This window comes from Homo sapiens, chromosome 6 (assembly GCF_000001405.40).
Source record: "Homo sapiens chromosome 6, GRCh38.p14 Primary Assembly".
NCBI lineage: Eukaryota > Metazoa > Chordata > Mammalia > Primates > Hominidae > Homo > Homo sapiens.
Genome location: NC_000006.12, coordinates 93106563 through 93126538, shown reverse-complemented (window position 1 = coordinate 93126538; position 19976 = coordinate 93106563). Strand labels below are relative to the sequence as shown.

General features: G+C 34.5%; 1 annotated feature.

Moving 5' to 3' along the window:
• Positions 2326-3038: an enhancer, noted in NCBI's record as "NANOG hESC enhancer chr6:93833219-93833931 (GRCh37/hg19 assembly coordinates)". NCBI's record gives its function as "activates a minimal SCP1, AML or CMV promoter by ChIP-STARR-seq in naive H9 embryonic stem cells {active_cell/tissue: H9 hESC(naive)}" and the evidence as "EXISTENCE:reporter gene assay evidence [ECO:0000049][PMID:30033119]".

Below are 19976 nucleotides of genomic sequence, written 5' to 3'. Positions count from 1 at the left end.
GCATTGGGAAACCAAAATATTAATATCGCTTGCATTACTGTGATAGTAACTTTATTGAGGTGGTTAGGAACTGAACCAGCAATATCTCCAAGATATGCTGGTAGTGACCTTTCTCTAAAGGTTAAGGTTATGGACTATTAAAACAGGTTCAGCTCTCGGTTCTTCCTGTATGATCTCAACCAAGTGACTTAAGTTTTCTGCACTTCAGTTTCTTCAGCTGCAAAGGGGGATGGTAAAACTACTTCAGGGGACTGTTTTGAGAGTTAAATGACTTAATAAAAGTAAAACCCATAGATCTGTGCTTAACAAATAAAAAGCAGTATATAAAAATTGGCTACGTTCTTATAAGAGTATGACACTTTGTTTTTCTTTCAATTACAGTTACTTATGCAAATATTTATTTTCACCATTACTAGCATGCATTTGGTATAACTTAATGTAAACTAATGCAACATAAATTAGTTTGATCAGTAAATCCAAAGCATTCTAAGAATATAGAAAATATTAATTAGTAATAATTTTCATTTTTTCTTTGAGTGTTGTTTTTTCTCTTATTCTTCTTTGTTTAGTTATTAAGACAATGAAATAGAATTCAGCCAAAGGAAAAGTTAGCTAGAGAAATGTTGGTAAGAAGCAAGATCTTGCTGACAAAAGGAAAATTACTCTCTCGTGTAATTAATTGAGTGGGTTCAGGGGCCTAGCCAGAGTCAAAGAACAGGATAAAGCTGTCAGGGAGGCTTTGAAGATCAAATTAGCCTGGAAAGGAAGAGAAAAAAAAAAAGAAAAAAAGAAAAGAAACTCCTCAGCAAAGTCGATAGGAATAAAGTTCAAGATGAATAAAGCTAAAAATTATAAATTACATAAGGTGTGTGTGTGTGTGTGTGTGTGTGTGTGTGTAGACTGTCTGATGTAACTAGGCTCTCATGACTTCCTTTGGAGTTTTCCTATTAATTACAAATTTTCAGACATTGATATATGTCATCTGAAAATTCGTACCAATGGTCGGCATTGTAATACTTGGAACCTAGTTAAAGTATGTAAAATAATTCTCACTGATTAGTTACACAGCTACATAAAGGAATTTTCAAAGTTATAAATGAATATATTCCAAATGATGAAATATGCCATATGTATTCACTTCCCAAGGTGTATTTTTGACTCTTGCTCCTGCCCTATTTGTGGCTGACTTGGCTATAAAAGAAGACTGAGAAGGCTTATGTGGCCTGTGGTAGGCTAACTACTAGGACTGCTGGTGTGGACAGAAATGAGCCATGGAGCAGTGTGCCTTCTCCTCGTTGAAGATAACTGCTTTCTCTTGCTTATACTCACACAAAAAAGATGGTCTTAAAAAAAAACAACAACAACAACAAAAAAAAAACCTCATATATAGCTTATAATCCAAGTTAATATCACTTTAAATTATTTTTCATATTATTAAATATTACAAGTTCCTAATTGCTAAAATACACAAATGCCCACACATTGAATGAAAGGCTGCTGTCAAATATTCAATAGAGAAAAGTCCTACTGAGATAAGTTCAGCAGAGAATGTACTAGTTCAGTTTCTGGAAGGCACCCCATTGATAGAGTTTAAAGGAGTCACAGAGCACAGATCAAGATTTAGTAGCACACATATTGAAAATTTAGCCATCAGATGAAATCTAGCTACAGCACACACCTACCTTCTTAATCTGCAGGCAGGATTTTAGATTGAAAATGAATCGTACAACTAACTGTTCAAAAAATAATTTTGTAATATTGTGACTGATTAAAAAGAATAAGGTTTAGAAAAATTGTCAACTAAAATCTAAACTGATTTTTCTTTTGGAGTTTTTTGTTACTTTAATTAATCATCACGAAATTAAATTTAACAAAGTTGGCTCAAGAAGAGAATATGTTGGTGGAGGTTCTAGTGTATTCCATATTAGAATAATTCTGATAGTAATTGCTAAAAACAAAAAGGAAATATTCAGGCTGAGACTTTTCAGGTATAGACTTCCAAGCTGAAGGCAGGATCTCATTCCAGTTTTTCTACACCAAGTTGCCTAGGACTGGGGAGCTCACAACATAAATATAGCTTTTGTGCCACAGGGAAGGAGGAATGCAGTTATTGAGAAAGCAGCATCTTGCGTAAGCCAAGTTTCTCACTGGACCTAGTGAAAACATGGGACATAAAGATTTCACTGTAGAATCCGTTCAATTTTCAATACAGCAAGTATGTTTTATCACTTACTATGTACAAGGCAAGTGATACAATAACAAACAAGCAGATTCCCAGCTGTCAAGGCTTTTGACTCTCACACAATTTCTATTCATAGTAAAAAGAAAAAGAAAGTCAAAAATAAGGCATAATTTTGGGATTCATCCACTGTATTTAAAATACATTTTGCAGAAAACAAATATTGGCCAGTAAATGTTCATGGTTTGGCCATTGGCCCTGGCAATCTAAACAACTCTAGGAAGTAAGAAATCAGAGAAAGGAAGCATATAGTTAACCAGGACACATTTAAGAAGTGGGAAATCATTTGAAGATTGCTTTGTTTTGTGAAAATAGCAGAAGTAAAGAGAAATTATCTGCTCTTTGTTTTGTACTTCTGAATGTAAATGGGATGTTGAAGAGCACAACAAAGATGGACCACAATAAACTATGCCTCCTGGTGTTTATGTCTTTGTATTGTCTCTTCTCCCTCAATCTAAACTGGGCGGGTGACTGGTGTTAACTAATCGAAAATGGAGACAGTAACATTTTCCATTCTGGGCTATGCCCTAAGAAGGCCTGACAGCTTTTACTTTCACATTTTGGGAGCCTTGAATTACCATATAAGGAGTCTGGCTACCCTGAGAAAAGACCACTTGAAAAGAGTCCCTGAGACTATATTGAGAGAGAGATTGGCCCTATCACCCAAGCATTCTAGATGAAAGTCCACAGGACTTTACCCCCAGCTAACATCTGCATGCCACCCCATAAAGTCCCAAGTAAGAACAGCAGAACAATCCTGATGGGCCCAGTAAACCCACAGAACTGTGAGAGATAATATTATTGCTTTAAAATATGAAGTTTTAGGTTTGTATCTTTTTCAGTGATATATAACAGAACAATAACATCTAGTTATTGAGAGAAAGAGTTATTTTATTGATAGAGTTATTGATAGAAAGAGTCTGAATAGTGACAAGCTGATTAAAAATAATCTTTATTTATGTATTCTATTTCTACTGAGCCACTTTCAAATGGAATTAAAGATAGTTTACTAAAGGAAATGCATATAAGCAATAAATAAATACATCATTAGAAGGATAAAAAAGACAAAATTTATTTAGAAGTATGTATGTTTTGTCTTTTTATTTGTATTTGTATTTTTTGCAGTTGAACCATATATTCTTATGTTAATTTATGAATAAAATCAAAGAAGATTTAAATAAATGAAGAGATATTTCATGTCCATGGATAGGAAGACTCAAAATTGTTAGGATGTCAGTACTTCCCACCTTGATGTATAGATACAACACATTGTCAACCAAAATCCCAGCAAATTATTTTGTGAATATCTATAAATTTATTCAAACGTTCATATGGAGAAGCAAAAGACCCATAATAACCAACACAGTATTGAAAGAGAACAAAGTTGGAAGGCTGACAATACCCAACTTGAAAACTTACTATATAAAGCTAAAATAATCAAGACAGTGTGGTATTGGCAATCAATGGAACAGAATAGAAAGCCCTGAAATAGGCCCACACACATGTGGTCAACTGATATTTGACACAGGAGCAAAGGCACTATAATGAAGCTAATGTAATCTTTTTTAACAAATAGTGCTGGAACAACTGTACAACTACATGCCAAAGTAGGAATCTAGACATAGGCTTTATACTCTTCATAAAAAAAATTCAAAATGAATCATAGACCTCACTGTAAAGTATAAAACTATAAAACTCTTAGAAAATAACATAGAAAGAGGCCTTGATGACCTTGAGTATAGTGATGACTTTTTAGGTACAACACCAAAGGTACAATTCATGAAAAAAAATTGATATGCTGGACCTCGTTAAAATAAAATATTTTGCCGTGTAAAATATGTCAAGAGAATAGAAGACAATCCGTAGACTGGGAGAAAATATTTGCAAAAGACACAGCCGATAAAAGACTGTTACCTAAAATATACAAAGAACTCTTTAAATGCACCAAGAAGAAAACAATCTAATTAAAAAATTAAGACTTAACAGGAAATATGCAGATGACAAATAAGCATATGAAAACATGCTTCACATTAAATGCCATTAGGAAATTGCAAATTAAAACAACAATGAGATACCATTATACACCTATTAGAGTGGCGAATATCCAGAACACCAAATACACCAAATACTGGCAAGCATGTGGAGTAATGACCTTTCTTTTATCATCGGTGGGAATGGAAAGTGGTACAGCTACCCTGGAACACAGTCTGGCAATTTCTTACAAAACTAAATTACTTTTACTATATGATCCAGCAATCACACACCTTGGTATTTACACAAAAGAGTTGAAAACTTACATTCACACAAAAACCTGCACACCAAAAATTTATAGCAGTTTTGCTCATAATTGCCAAAAGTCAGAAGCAACCAAGATGTCCTTCAGTAGGTAAATAGATTTTTTAACAAAATACAAAATACTGTGTGTGGTGAATCCAGATAATGGATTTATTCAGTGCTAAACAAAATGGGCTATCAAGCTATAAAAAGACATGGAGGAATCTTAAATGTGTATTAAAAAGTGAACGAAGCCAATTTAGAGGGGCTGCATGATTCCACCTATATAATATGGGAAAGCCAAAACTATGGAGACGGTAAAAAAGTTAGTAACTGCCAGGGGTTGGGAGAGGGAAGGCATGACTAGGAGGAACACAGAGGATTTTTAGGGCAATGAAAATATTCTGTATAATCTTATAACAATAGATATATGTCATTACACATTTATCCAAACCCATAGAATGTACAACACCAAGAGTGAAACCTAATGTAAACTATAGACATTGGGTGATTATGACATATCATTGTAGGTTCATCAATTGAACAAATGTATCACTCCAGAGGGGAATATTGATAATGGAAAGGTATGCATGTGGGGGCAGGGGGCAGGGAGCATATGGGACATCTTTGTACCTTCCTCTCAATTCTGCTGTGAACCTTAAACTGCTCTAAAAAAAATAAAGTGTTAAAAAAAGTACCTATAGGAAGCAAATTTCGTGTAAAAAAGGAGGGGAGATATCACACACAGACACATAAATATATATATCATATATTTAGAGAAAGAGAGAGAAGACTTTTTTTTAAAGAGACTGGAATGATCAAACAAATTCATAAGATTGATTATGTAAAAAAGGAAGCTTTGAAACATGGCAGAAAGTATACGGGGTAAAAATAAAACAGGATGAAAGGAATTGGGGCTAAGAATGAGTGAAAGTGAGGAGTGCAAGAAATAATTCTCCGAGCATTCCCTTTTAGCATGAGAATTCCTGAAACCACACTAATGTTTTACATATTAAACAATAGCCATCACCACCACAATAGTAATAATATGTCAACAATAATATAACCACATTGAAGGGGTGGAAAAAGAGCCAAAACTAACTCAAGTAAAGCTGAAGAACATATTTTGAACATGTACTCTTAGGCTACTAACAGAGAGAAATGTAAGAAAATATTGAACTCTAGTCAGTAAGTTTGACTTTGCAGTGGGAATGGTTGGCAGTTTCAGTGAATTGAACAAACAAATAAATATTTTGAGGATAATTGGAGTCAGGTTTCTTACTCTTAGAAATATGGAAAGAAGGAGGGCTAGAATAAATTCTCTGGTATTGGGTTAGAATTGATGGTACTGACATGTACTCATGGCAAAGAGAGAAAAAGAAAGAAGAAAGAAAGAAAAAGAAAGAAGAAAGAAAAGAAAGAAAGAGAAAGAAAGAAAGAAAGAAAGGAAAGAAAGGAAGAAAGAGAAGAGAGAAAGAAGGAAGGAAGGAAAGGAAGGAAGGAAGGAGAGGAGGGAGGGATTAGATATATAGATAGATGAAGTAGAAATAATAGATATAACTATATTGCACAAACACATGCACACACACTCTCAGAGGCACACATAGAGAATGAGTGAGAGGGAGGCAGGAAGGGAGGGAGAGAGGAAAAGAGAACAAGAGTGAGCAAGACAGGGAAACCAGTATAGAATTGCTAGCTCCCTCTGTTGAGAGATCCTGAAATCAATGCCTCTCCAGTAACAATGAACCAACCATATCTTGGTGTCTAAATTAAAGGATCCAAGACTTCTTGGAAAAATGGCTGATTCCAGGCTGGCTCAGAAAAGAAAGTACAATATGGATCTGGAATATCCTGTGCCTTAATATACGGATGTAATCAAAAAATGACAGAGACATGTCAAAAGGCCTTAGGGGCTGCTTGAAGGGGATGCCACTGGCCAAAGCTGGGATACATTGAACTTCAAAACAGTGATAATAATGGATTATAACTCATTAAGGAAAATAAAAATCCATGAGTCCATACTGATATAAGTGAATGAAAAAATGGGGGGAAAAGAAAAGAAAACCTCTTCCTTACAGTAGAATGCTGACTAATAAATTTAGAAGAAATGATAGTTGAAGAAATCACCATTTAACTTTCACTATAGTAATAATTATTAACAGACACAAACTAGTGAGTGAAAGCTTGTTAAGGAATAAGAGATTTATGTATTTCAAAGTATCTCTCTACAAAACACGTATTACTTACAAAGAGAAAAGTAATAACTTTATAGTGGAGAAATTTGGCAGGCAAATGATTAATCAAAATTAACATGTCCAATAATGGCTCAAACTGATGTAATGTGCCTCCTTATGTAATGCACTGAGAAAAATACAACATCACTTAAGTATTACTCCAGATGGGCATATGACAATCTGACAGTGATGAAATATCAAACATGCTCAAATTGAGAGACACTTATAAAATAACTGCTCTATACTATTCAGATATGTCAAGGTCGAGAAAGTTAAAGAAAATTTGTGGAACTGCTCCATATTAAAAGGGAGTAAAAGGCTGAATAAGTAAATCTAATGAATAATATTGAATCAGACAGGATTTTTAAAATAAGAGACATTATTGGGAAAATTGGAAAAATTTGAATAACATCTCTAGATTAGATGATACTATTGCACGAATGTTAACTTTCTAATTTTGAAAGTTAAAATTAGTATAGCATTATAGGTAGGATAATATATTTATCCCTAAGAAATATACTTTGAAATACTTAGGATTCAAGGGGCATCATGTGAGCTTTCAAACTTCAAACAATATGAAGAATGTTAATGTCAATAAGCCTATCTTGAAAAAATAAGTTGCTAAAAATTGGAATGTTATTAAAAACATTTACTTTGGAATTAGTTTTCTCTTATAAATTAAAAAATAAGCAAACAAAAGATACTTTATAGGAGGTTCAGGAAAATATAAATGTCTTTCTTTGTAATATCACTTAAATTGAAAAATAATTTATGAAAAATATATACATTTTAAAAAGTTTTACCAATGTCCAATTCTTAGGAAGCATGAGATTAATATAGGTTATATATTCACCTTTTTCAATAGGGCCAATAACATCTATTTGATACTTACATTAGTATCTTTTCTCTGCTTCTTCAGGCAATGCCTTTCTGTTATGTTAACTGAGATTTTCTCATTAAGAATAAATTTAAACTTCAAGAAGCTGTGTTCACAGAGTAAAATCTTACAGCATAAGAAATAATTTGCTAAGTGGTAAATGAAAGGTGGAAGATGGCTGTCATCATATACGACAGTGGAAAAGTAATTTTTTTTCCTGACCAATTAGCAAAACTTCATAAAATTAACCATGTAAATTTATGTCTTTATTCATTTATTTAACAAATATTTATTGATTTGCTGTAAAATTAACCATGTAAGTTTCTGTATTTATTCATTCATGTAACAAATATTTATTAATTTGTTGTAAATTGAAACATGTTTTTGTACAAAAGAGAAGCACAACTCTCAGAGAGTCTCAAGATTTTTATGAAAAAGAGATCTTGCCAGGTGAACCAAGGAGGTCTATGGACCTGCTCCATGTTAAAGGTGACTAAAAAGACTAGACTATTAAATCCAATGCATCTAATGCAACCTGTTTCATTGATGGGTGCTGTGAATGATCACTATTACCACCACTATATTTTTAACATATTGGACATTCATATGAAAAAATAAGTTAAAGCCTCTCAAGCAGGGAAGTATTTCAGAATCTTTATCCTGAAGTTCGCAGTATATAAAAAATACTGCCCATGAGACTTTAATTAATTAATTCAGAATACTGTTGAAACAAGAAAGAAAGAATAAAGAAAAATTTTAAAAGTAGAAGACAGAAATTCATATATGCAGTGTATCAAGAATTGCCTTGGATGTCAGTATTGCCTGCACTTCTGAGTAAATGGGCAGGATTACAGGAGTGAGAATAGAATCTTGGGCCTGAGACCTAAGCCAGAAGAGTTGATTAACATATAGAAAAGCAAAAGCCATTTAGTTATATTGCTAATGCTGACTATGATTTCTGATCAGTTGCATCAAGTACAATGAATCTACAATAAATCATGTAGGTCAGAGGCTAAGCTGCTGTTATAAAGAGACCTTAAAAATGCAGTGTCTTCAATATGCTTTAAGTTTATTTCTCTCAGTGTTAGTTCAAAAAACTTAAAGTGGGAGAACAAGTAAATTCAAATATTTACTTTCAAATTTCAAAAAGAACTTAAATTCTGGAATCAGACTTAAGGACATAAAAAAGAAGAATGAAGACACCAAGTGAACATTTGTAAAGTTTGAAAATTCCTTTAGCTTCCATAATTATTTTGTATGACTTACTGAAATTTAGGCATCTTAAAATAACCCTTTTAAAATACTTTTTTAAAGTTCCACTTTAATTAAACTTATCACTATCTCCTAAATTCCAATTTTTTTTTTAATCTTGGCAAGGGGGAAAATAATCAAGCACTTCTACCTGGTAAATCAGCTCCAGTAAACGTAAAACCCCTGGTATCATTCAAATTGAGTTCACATTAACAAGTATTTTGATATGTATCATGCTGATCATGTAAATGTAGTTAGCTTTCTGGAAAAAAGGGAAAAAAAGAAACCACACAAATTGTAACTGATTAGATGTTACTGCAATCATACAGAGCTAGTCTTTTTTGAGGGGGAGGGGAGGGTTGCATATTATCTCTACATGAATATAAATGAGCTTCACTTTAATGAGAGATTATTTTGTCTTTATGAAAGAGAATGATTGAAATCCTAGAGAGGAGGTTTTATGTTTTATACTGCCAGTCTTCTGTTTGGGTAGAAATTATAATGACATAAGCATCATCTGCCTGGTCTCAAGTACACTGTTCAATTCAACAAAAATTGAACTCCTATTCTGAACATGATCTCATTGAGGTACCTCAGTTTTTGGCTAAAGGAAAAGAATGATGCAAGTATATTTAAGTTTCAAGTGAAACTAATTTTGCAGATTCAGATATAAAACCAAATAGGTTTTCTCCCCTTTATATGAAGCAACTATTCATACAGTTTCATGGACCCAGTATATGAATAAAAACAAAAGCTAACTTTCTTGTCATCTCCTGTTCCTCCCAAGATCAGTAGAGAGGAAAAGTGGAGGTTCCTGGACAAAGAGAGATGGTAGAATTTAATGATTTTTCTCACTCCAAGAAGATTAGGATTTACACAGACTGCTGGGAAGGGGTGGTGTGTATTGTCCTCAGAAAGTGGAATCTTTTCTTATCAGACCAAGGAAAAAATTCTATCAGTGGTCCTTAATATGCAGAAATAGCACAAGTGAGTATTTGTCTGGTTGTTCCTCTCTAACTCAGAGAGAATTCACCAACATGTCCCTGCCTGTCATGGCCCAGTTCTCTTATAAGGCCAGTGGGGTTGAATCTGACTCTTAATCAGGGTCCATACAAAGAGGGGGTAGACTATAATTACCAGGTATTTAGTATTCAGGCTGCCTAAGCGGAAATAGGGAGACCAGTTATTTCTGCCTAATTCTCAAGCAAATATAACCCACTAATCTTAAACAAAAAGAAATCATAGCCAAATATTTACCCTACACTATTATTACAAATATATTATTCATGTCTAAATACAAGCAATAGTAGTATAAGGAGTTTTCACTAATCAACTTTATATCTGAGGCACACAGGTTTTAATTATTAGGGGAATGACTTGAAAACCACATATAAAAATTTCATTAGAAAATGTCATTTGCCTGGAAGGTCCTAAGTTCCGGAGGAAGTAATGGTCCCAGAGACCCCTTACTAGAACTTAACTGAAATTAATTAAAAAATTACTTTATATGTTATCTCTATATTAAGAATTCTTATGTTAAATGAGCTACAAATATGAAAACCTTTATTAGGTAAACCTTTATTAGGTAAAATATTTACAAAAATATGATTATGCTACTGAAAATTTTCAGTTTTGTAATTTGACTTAATGTACATCTTAAATTAAAAAGTTGATGAAATTGAAAAGGTAGAAAAAGCATATGCTTGTCTGCCATCCATCCAGACCCTTTCCATGAACAAACTACTACATATTTCCAGAGATATTGTGTGCATATCAAGCAAATGCATGCACAGATAGAAACATTCTTATATGCAGGTGGTAGCATGCTACATACAGACACATGAAATGCAGCATGAGCACTGCTTAATGCCTTGCTATTTTTGTCACTTAATCTGCTTATTATTCCATTTTAAGGACCTATCCAAATGTACTTCATCAGTCATATTGCTGAACATATAGGGTACTTTCCAAATTTTTGCCAGTTCAACACAGTGCTTCAATTAATAGTCTTAAATGAATAAAATTTTACTAACGTGTAATGAGTAATATTAGCATAAATTCCTGAAAGTAGAGTACTGTAATAAAGACTCTAAGGTCTTTTCAAGTATGAGGTCTTTTACTTGGGGTTTAATTCGTGACAACTTATCCATGGCTATTGTAAAAATTTTTACACCCCCTCCAAATAAATTAGAGTACCTCTTTTTTCACAACACCACTGTATTAGTCAGTTTTCATGGTTGCTGATAAAGACATACCTGAGACTGGGTAATTTATAAAGAAAAAGAGGTTTAACGGTCTCACAGTTCCATGTGGCTGGGGAGGCCTCACAATCATGGTGGAAGGCAAAATCCACGTCTTACGGGGCAACAGAAAAGAGAGAATGAGAACCAAGTGAAAGGGATTTCCGTTTATAAAACCATCAATTATCATGAGACTTACTCACTACCATGAGAACAGTACGGGGGAAACTGTCCCTCTGATCCAGTTATCTCCCACAAGGTCCCTCCAACAATATGTGGAAATTATGGGAGCTACAATTCAAGATGAGATTTGGGTGGGGACACAGCCAAATCATATCACCCATCAACACAATTTTGTTAACAAACATTTAGACCTTTGCCAAACAGAGAAGTGAAAATGGGATAGTCTTAAAATTTTCATGTTCATTTCTTTGAATAAGAGCAAAGTTGCATATGTGAAAATATATTGAAGTTATTTTTAATACTTTTCTGTAAACCATTTCTAGTATTTTCCAGGTTTTTACTGTACCATTGTTATTCTTATTGTCTTTTAATATATGGGGAAATTAGCCCCTTTGTCTGTAATGTGACTTGCAAATATTTATACCTCCATTTTTTGATTTGATTTTAACCTTGCTTTTATTGAATCTTTAATATAGCTATTATTACTGAATGTAATATAATTAAAATTTCAATTCTTTTTTGCTTTATGGCTTCAGGATATGTGTCATATAGAAAGACCATCCCTAGTCAGGAGATTTCTTTTTAATACCTTGCCATGGCTGCTTCTGCTACTTTTATATTTTCATTTACTTTTACATTTTTATTTCCAGTGATTGAGTCAAAATTAATTTTGATGTAAGAGGTATGGAAGCAACTCTATAATTTTGGATTAGTTATCCAGTTGTTATATTCATCAATTATTAATAAACTATCTTTCTGAAATATCCTTACCATCTTGACTGTTATTAAACCTCTGTATGTACAGTGCATAGATATGTTTCTGGATTCACTAATCTCCTCCACTGATCATCTGATGGCTACTAGCAAACTAGGCAATGATTACTGTTAGGATTCTGTAACGCAAAGTGATTTATAAACCAATACTTTATTTTGGGTAAACAAAAAAGAATAAATATAATATTGTATTTGGCAAAATGAAAACTGTGTTACTAGTTGCTTTAGGGGCACTAAGTCAAAATTTGTTTTCATATAAGATGTGAAGTTTAAAGATGATGCTTATGATCATTTGGGATCTAATGTTCCTTGTTTCTATAATAGTTAATCAAAATATTTGGAGGCTGTTGCTTAGAAATAACCTTAATTTTATCTATAAAAGAGAGTGTCTATTGAACCTCAGTTATATTGAGACCAGTTTTGGTTCTGTCCCACATCTGGAAGAAGCATCACTTGTCTTTTCTTCTTACTCTTTTATTTTGCACCTCAGGAAAGAAAAGAAAAATGAAGAAACAAGCTTTGCTGGAAATAGCTCTATCCTCCTAGTACTGATAGGGTAGGAAGAAAACTGAAGTAGACATTTGTGCTGTGAATTATCCCTTCTCTTGGCAGGAAAGAAAGAAGTCTCTGGGGGATTATGAGAACATAGATAAAGGTGCCTGAAGCAGAGTTAAAGAAGAAGAAAAACAAGTGCCAAATCTGAGTGCCAGAGACAGTCATTTTGGTGAGGGAGGTTAAGCCCTGTGATGTGGAAAACTAGCAGAAAATAACTGCATATTGATGAAGGAGGTGACAGTCAGTAAAAGAGAAAAAATAAAATAATTATTTTACTAGGAAGTGGAAAACATTTGTAAGCTGATGTGTAAATTTATCTGAAATACTGTGGTAACATACTTCTACTGAGAGTGGGGTGTGTGTGTATCTGTAGGAAGACCTGGAGTACAAGGTGGAAGGTGGCTTCCTGTGGCCTCAGTTGTCCAATATGGCATCAGTGTTCCATGCCGCAAGTAAACTTGTCCATAAAGTTCACCACTCTGTGCTGGGCATGGTGGCTCACGCCTGTAATCCCAGCACTTTAGGATGCCAAGGAGGGAGAATCCCTTGAATTCAGGAGTTTGAGACCAGCCTGGACAACATGGTCAAACCTTGTCTCTATAAAAAATAGAAAAATTAGCCTGGTGTGGTGTTGCGTGCCTGTGGTCCCAGCTACTCAGGAGGCTGAGGTGGGAGGATTGCTTGAACCTAGGAGGTCGAGGCTGCAGTGAGCCATGATTGCGTCACTGCACTCCAGCCTGGGCAACCAAAGGAATTGCTGTCTCAATGAGATAATTGTTTTATAAATTTTTAAGACCTTCCTGTCTAAGGGTTTTGCAAATCAAAAATATTTTGGATTTAGCAGCCAGTTCATTATTTGTATGTATGTGAATTCTACTATTCCAATGAAAAACAAGGAGTATCATCATATACAGCTACAATATCTACTAATGTTTACAGTAAAACTAAATATATATAGGGCTTGAAATAGATAAGCATGGTCACATTCATTCACCTTGAATGATATCAATATTTAGAGGGAAAAAGCATTTATTAAGTCACTCAAGGACGGGATAAGACTTCTCCAAACGACTACACATTAGAGGTTTTTTAGGGTAATTCTTATCGGAAAGTTCTGAATGTCTCTCTCTCTCTCTCCTTCTCATATTTCAGGTTCAATAAAAAAATACTTAAAAAGAATGCAAAGAAAGGAGGGACTGAGAAAGTCAAAATTAGCCAGTAAATGTGATTGATTGAGGCTTATGTACTTTTATAAAAGTATTTAATATCAAGACTGAAACAGGTATCACTAATAAAAATAGCAAATAAGTTCATTCTATCCCATGGCTAGTTTCACCATGCTGTTGAATTCAGTCTATTTCCTGTTATTTATCAGCTACTTCTAAAGAATAGATGTCAACTAGTTTGCCCTAGGCTTACATTTTTTTAAATATAAAAAGTGTTTGTTTCCATAAAATAAAACGTTGCAAGTGCAAAATTCCACCATCAAATATGTGCCTCAGAATCAACTAATTAAGCTTTGTAAAAATGTACCAAATTGGGAAATCAATCCTCTCTTATCTGCACACAGAACATAACTCTAGAGAGCTGGTGTTGAGCCCAAGATTCTGTATTTGTATATGCTTTACAGGTAATTCTGATGGGAACATCCAATTAAGAACATATCCATGAGGTATGCCAAGGGACCACCTATAAAAATATGGAAATCTGGCCCAGATCAGGTGAGTTAGTGCATAGCTGCACAATGCGCCCCATTTATTCCTTGTTTTAAAATCTGAGTTGTTCCATAATCGTTTTATACTTGTGATAAATGATTATTTCAGAATCCTGAACTCAGCTGAACATTACTAATCTGTTTTCGTGTGAATGGCATATATGTCAATATGCATTGTAAACTGCAAAGTGATTTATAAATGTTGTGGTTGTTATTCCATTACAAACAACTGTGGTGTACAATCTGAGGAGGCAGGACTAATGTCTGAAAATGTGTGATGTCAGACTTCCCGCACCCAGCTCATGTAGAATTAGGATGTTATTTGGAATAGGAAATATGGAGAAAGCAATCACTTCACAATGCTTCACATTTTGCTATAACATTAAAGATGCATTTTTAATGTTGCCTGGTAGTAAATACTCAAAAAGCCACACAGAACTTGGAGAAAGTAGTGATCTTGTGTCATAATAGAAGGAATGCCACTTTCTAGTGGTGGACATTGGCTGTTTAAAAAGTAGAATAAATTCTTACCAAAGCCTCTGGCATGAAATTGTAGAAGATGAAGAATATCTCTATGTGTACTATTTGCACAAATAATTTAAAATGAATACGTAAGCAGATCCATCAATGAGATAGAGACGGGTCAATCTGAGCATGACGATGAGGTAAGGGACACAACAATGGTGATTAGGAAGATTTTCTAGATAGTAAGTGGTCAATGTGGATGAAGACTGTTACAGCTTCTGTTTCACTAATTCTATAAAACTTAGCCACATTGTTTGCTGAGAGAAATGCAGCTGCAAAACATTTATAATACTTTTCTTTTAAAAAAGGTGAAATGAAGCTGGGTATGGTGGCTCACGCCTGTAATCCCAGCACTTCGGGAGGTCAGGGTGGGCGGATTGATCACCTGAGGTCAGGAGTTCGAGACCAGCTGGGCCACCGTGGTGAAACCCCATCTCTACTAAAAATACAAAAAAAGTAGCCAGGCATGGTGGTGGATGCCTGTAATCCCAGCTACTTGGGAGGCTAAGGCAGGAGAATCGCTTGAACTTGTGAGGCAGAAGTTGCAGTGAGGCAAGATTGCGCCGTTGCACTCCAGCATGGGCAACCAGAGTGAAACTCCGTCTCAAAAAATAAAATAAATAAAATAAAAAAGGTGAAATGACCTAATGTTCAGCAAATATGAAAGATACAATGAAATGTCTGTGGTTACTGCTAGATTTCCCATTTAATCCCATGTCTCTTACTATTTTAATTTGAATCCATAACTGTATCTCTGGCACATGGTGATAACTGATAATTGTGGCCCAGTGTTCTTTAGGAAACGCTAAGTTATGGTGAATATTCCAAAATGCAACTAAGACAATTCTATGTTCTGGTTCTGGTCTCACAGTATTTTTAATTATTATTTTCACGTACTTTTATGAACTTTCAGCTTCTGCCAATATATAACAACAATTAAAAATTTTTTATTGCTACTAATGGCTTTTGATGTAATGCTGTTGCCAAGCTTAACAGGGATCACATGTTTTCCAACTGCTTTGTATGAAGCTTTTTTATATGGCCAAAACAAGAGACTGGAAAAAACAAAAGGAGTGATTTCATTTTTAGAATGACTCTAAAATGGATATTGGTATTAGTGAGCATGGGCTTAATTAAGAGTGAACAGTTGTTTGAGTTTAATTTATTAATATATTAATTAATAAACATTTGTTGAATACTTACTTCGTGCATGGAATTATGTTATCTGATTCTTTTTATTATAGTCCAGGGTTGACACTGACTCAACTGTGTCATTAGCTATACATCACTAGTCTCCAATTCCTGTGCTCTAACACTAGTCACACTCCCCCCTTGTTCATTTAGTAAATTTTTACCTCCATTATTTCCAGGTACCTCATCAATAAATCAATAAGTATTTTGATAGAAGATATTTAATTTGAGATAGGTAGAAGTGAATGAATAGATATTCTGATTTCAAGAAGTCAATCTTGTTGAATAGAGAAGGAATAAAAAGAAGATGGTATATAATTAAATGCTAAATTCAGTAGGGGACATGAAAGTTTAAAATCAGAGTGAGTAACATATATTAAAAACATTAAGAAAGGTTCTATACCAGCCACTCTCTGCTTTGAAGTCTTCTTTTTCTTCTCGTTTATGCTAGTATCAAGACTGCTCTTCTTTTCCTTCCTCTGTAACTTTTCTTCACTTGCTAGCTATTCCTGTGCTCTGTTATAATGTAGGAGTTAAAGGAACAGGGAGAATGCACTGGTATAGAGAAGGAGTCCATCGTCAGCTGTCCCCATTCAGTATTATACAATCATAGGTAATACATGATTTGTACATCACGTCAACTTAAGAGAGTCGGGGGAAAGGCAGAGTTTAGACCTGACCACCATCTGCTGAAAAGTTGACCCTAGGCTGAGTGAGTACTGGGGGACCACTCTGTTAGACAAACACTTAGTTGAATATACCACATTGTATGATATTTAATCAGATGGCAGAAAGGAATTATAAAACAAATTGAAATTTACTAGATGTATGCAAAGTAGCATTAACTAAGTTACAGATATTTTTTCCATCCTGATATTGTTATTGGCTGAAAAGTAGTATTCAATGAGAAAAGTATAGCAACTGAATTTAAAGACAATTGAATTCTGGCTCTGATTATATGGCTTTGATCTTTCATAGCCCCTATCAATGAAAAGTAAAGTAGAAGTTAAAGAGAAAAATCAGACTCATTTGATTTATTCTTACCAACAGAAAGCTAACATATCTTTCCCAAGGAAGACACAAAGTAATGTTTTTTTAGTTCAGAGAATTTACAGTAATCCAGGTTAGAGTTACCATCTTTAGCCAAATAACAAACACAAAAAGCACACTCACAGTTTGAATTTGAAATAAACAACAGATACACACAAATTCACACATATTTACATACAATTACATATATACTCTTAGTAAACTTAGTATAATTATGCCTTGGGCAATATTTGGAACACACTTTTTATTTCATTCCTTGTTTGTCTGAAATTCAAATTTATCTGGATGTCTTGTATTTTATATGGCAATCCCAGTTTAAGGTCTGGTCCTCAGTTCTCTAGGTTGAGAAGCAGATCTTTACTGGCATGTAGAAGGTAGGTCACGTCCTTGGCGGGAAGCCTCACATTAATGAACTCTCAATACTGATACATTCAACTACAATGTGGATTTGTTACTCGTATGATGAGAAAAATAGAAATAACAGGAATCCCAATACTCGTGTTTTCTTTATCTCTGCAATGTATCAGTATGTCCACTGCTACCACCCTGGTTCAAGCCACTATAATTTCTCACCTTGGCCTATTGTGATAAACTCCTAACTTCTTGTCTATATCTTTCATTTATTTACATACACAGTCAACAAATATTTATCAAGTGCCTGGTAAGTGCCTAGTACTTTGCTGAGCTGTGAGGATGCAGTAATGAATGAAAGAGAGCCCTTATACTGATAGAGCTTAATTGGGTGGAGACAAATAGGTAAAATATATACCATGGCATACGGTCAAAGATAAAGTAGAAATAGAAAGGGATATGATGTTTGGAGGTGTACATTTTAAATAGTAATCAAAGAAAGCTTTCCCTAGAGGTGACAAAGCCTGGAAGAGAGGGAGGAGGGAGCCATGTGGCTCTCTAGAAGAATATTTTAGGCTAGGGAGCAATAAGTGTAAATTTCTGTACCAAGTGAGTTCTAGAAGCAGCATGAAGTCTTGCAAGAGTGGGATGAGCTAGATAAAGTAGATGATTTTTTAAACCATTGTAAGAATTTGGACTTTCTCTGAGGAAGATGGAGAGCCATTGTGGGTTTTCAATAGAGGTGTAATATTACCTGACATATTATCTTTCTTATCTGAGTGATTTCATCTGGACCATTCTTGCTAGAGGAAAGGTAGGGTATGGTTATGGCTAAAACCAGGTAGTAGTGGTAGTGGTAATGAGAAGTGGTGTATTTCTGAATAAATTTTAAAGATAAAACTGAATGGTTTGTTGACAAATTTGGACTTAGTGAATGGAATAAGCAGAGTAATCAAGGATGACTTCAAAGGTTTTGACTGAATCACTTGAAAGATAAAGTTGTCAATTATTAAATAATGAAGATTGTGAGAGGAGGAGGTTTTGAGGGGGAATAACAGGAGTTTGGCTTTGGATATATTAATTTTGAATTATATATTATTCTTCCAAGAGAGTAGTTGAGCCTGAAAAATAAAAGAAGACTGGGCTGGAGGTATGAAACTAGGAGTCATAAATGGATAGATGGTATTAAAGCCTTGAGACTGACTGAGATGACCGAGGGAGGGAGTACAGTGAAAAAGTCTAGGGGATCTTACAGATGGAGTCTGAGAGATGAAGAGGAACCAGCAATATTGTCAGGTAGGACAAAAAAACAAGAAAATATTGTATCCTGGAAAACAAATGAAGAAACGTTTCATGAAGAAGGGTGAAAAACTGGGCCAAATGTAGCTGCTAAACTTTTAAGAAAATGATTGAGAAGTGGCATGAGATTTTTTAATCTAGATGTCATCAGTGGCCTTGACAAAAGCAGTTTCAGGGGAGTTCTGGGGTTAAAAGGATGGCTAAAGTGTGTATGAGATAAAATGAGAGAGGGCCAGGCATGGGGGCTCATGCCTATAATCCCAGCACTTTGGGAGGCCGAGGTTGGGAGGATTGCTTGATGCCAGGCTGACCAATATAGCAAGATCCAATCTCTACTAAAAATTTCAAAAACAAAAATTAAAAAAATTAGCTGGACGTGGTAGCACGTGCCTGTAGTCTCAGCTATTTCTGAGGCTGAGGTGGGAGGTTTGCTTGAGCTCGAGAGTTCAAGGCTGCGGTGGGCTGCAGTGAGCTGTAGTGATTGTGTCACTGCACTCCAGCTTGGGTGACAGAGTGAGACCCTGTCTCTAAAAAAAATAAAATTAAATACATAAAAATTAAAAATAAACAAGATAAAATGAGAGGAGAGAAACTGAAGAAAGTAAGTGTCAACTCCAGTGAGAAGTTTTGCTGAAAAGAGGAGCAAAGAATTGGTTCAATAATTGAAGGGGAAAGTAGGTCAAGAGATTACTAGTAGGTGAAAAGATTATTATTTTCTATAAGCTATAAATGTAAAACCATTTTTGGTTTTTTAATTTGCAGGTTTTGAGGGTGGGTCTTATTGAAGTTCACCTGCTGACAGACATCTAGTGTTCATGTGATAACAATATCAGAGGCAGAACTTTGCGCTGGATAGACTATCAGTTTGGCAGATAGTAGGGCATTTCTTGCATTCTTACATAGTTAACAAATTTATGTTTGATCTTTTTTTATTTAAATTATTTTTAAAGAATAAGTAGCTTTTAAAATCAAAATTTTCTTAATTTGTTAATAAAACACTTCCAAGGCCACAGTCTTGGTCTCAGTTTAAAATCTAAGACTAGTTTCATGAGGTCTGGGGTCAAACCTCTGTTCTCATGATTGGATACTGATAAGATGAAGAGGTGTCTTTGCTATCCATCTCCAGAATAACACCCCAACTCTATGTTGGCCCTACTCCTGATATCCCTAGTAGTTGGCCACTTCTGAAAAAATAGCAAAAGCATCAACTGGCTGAATT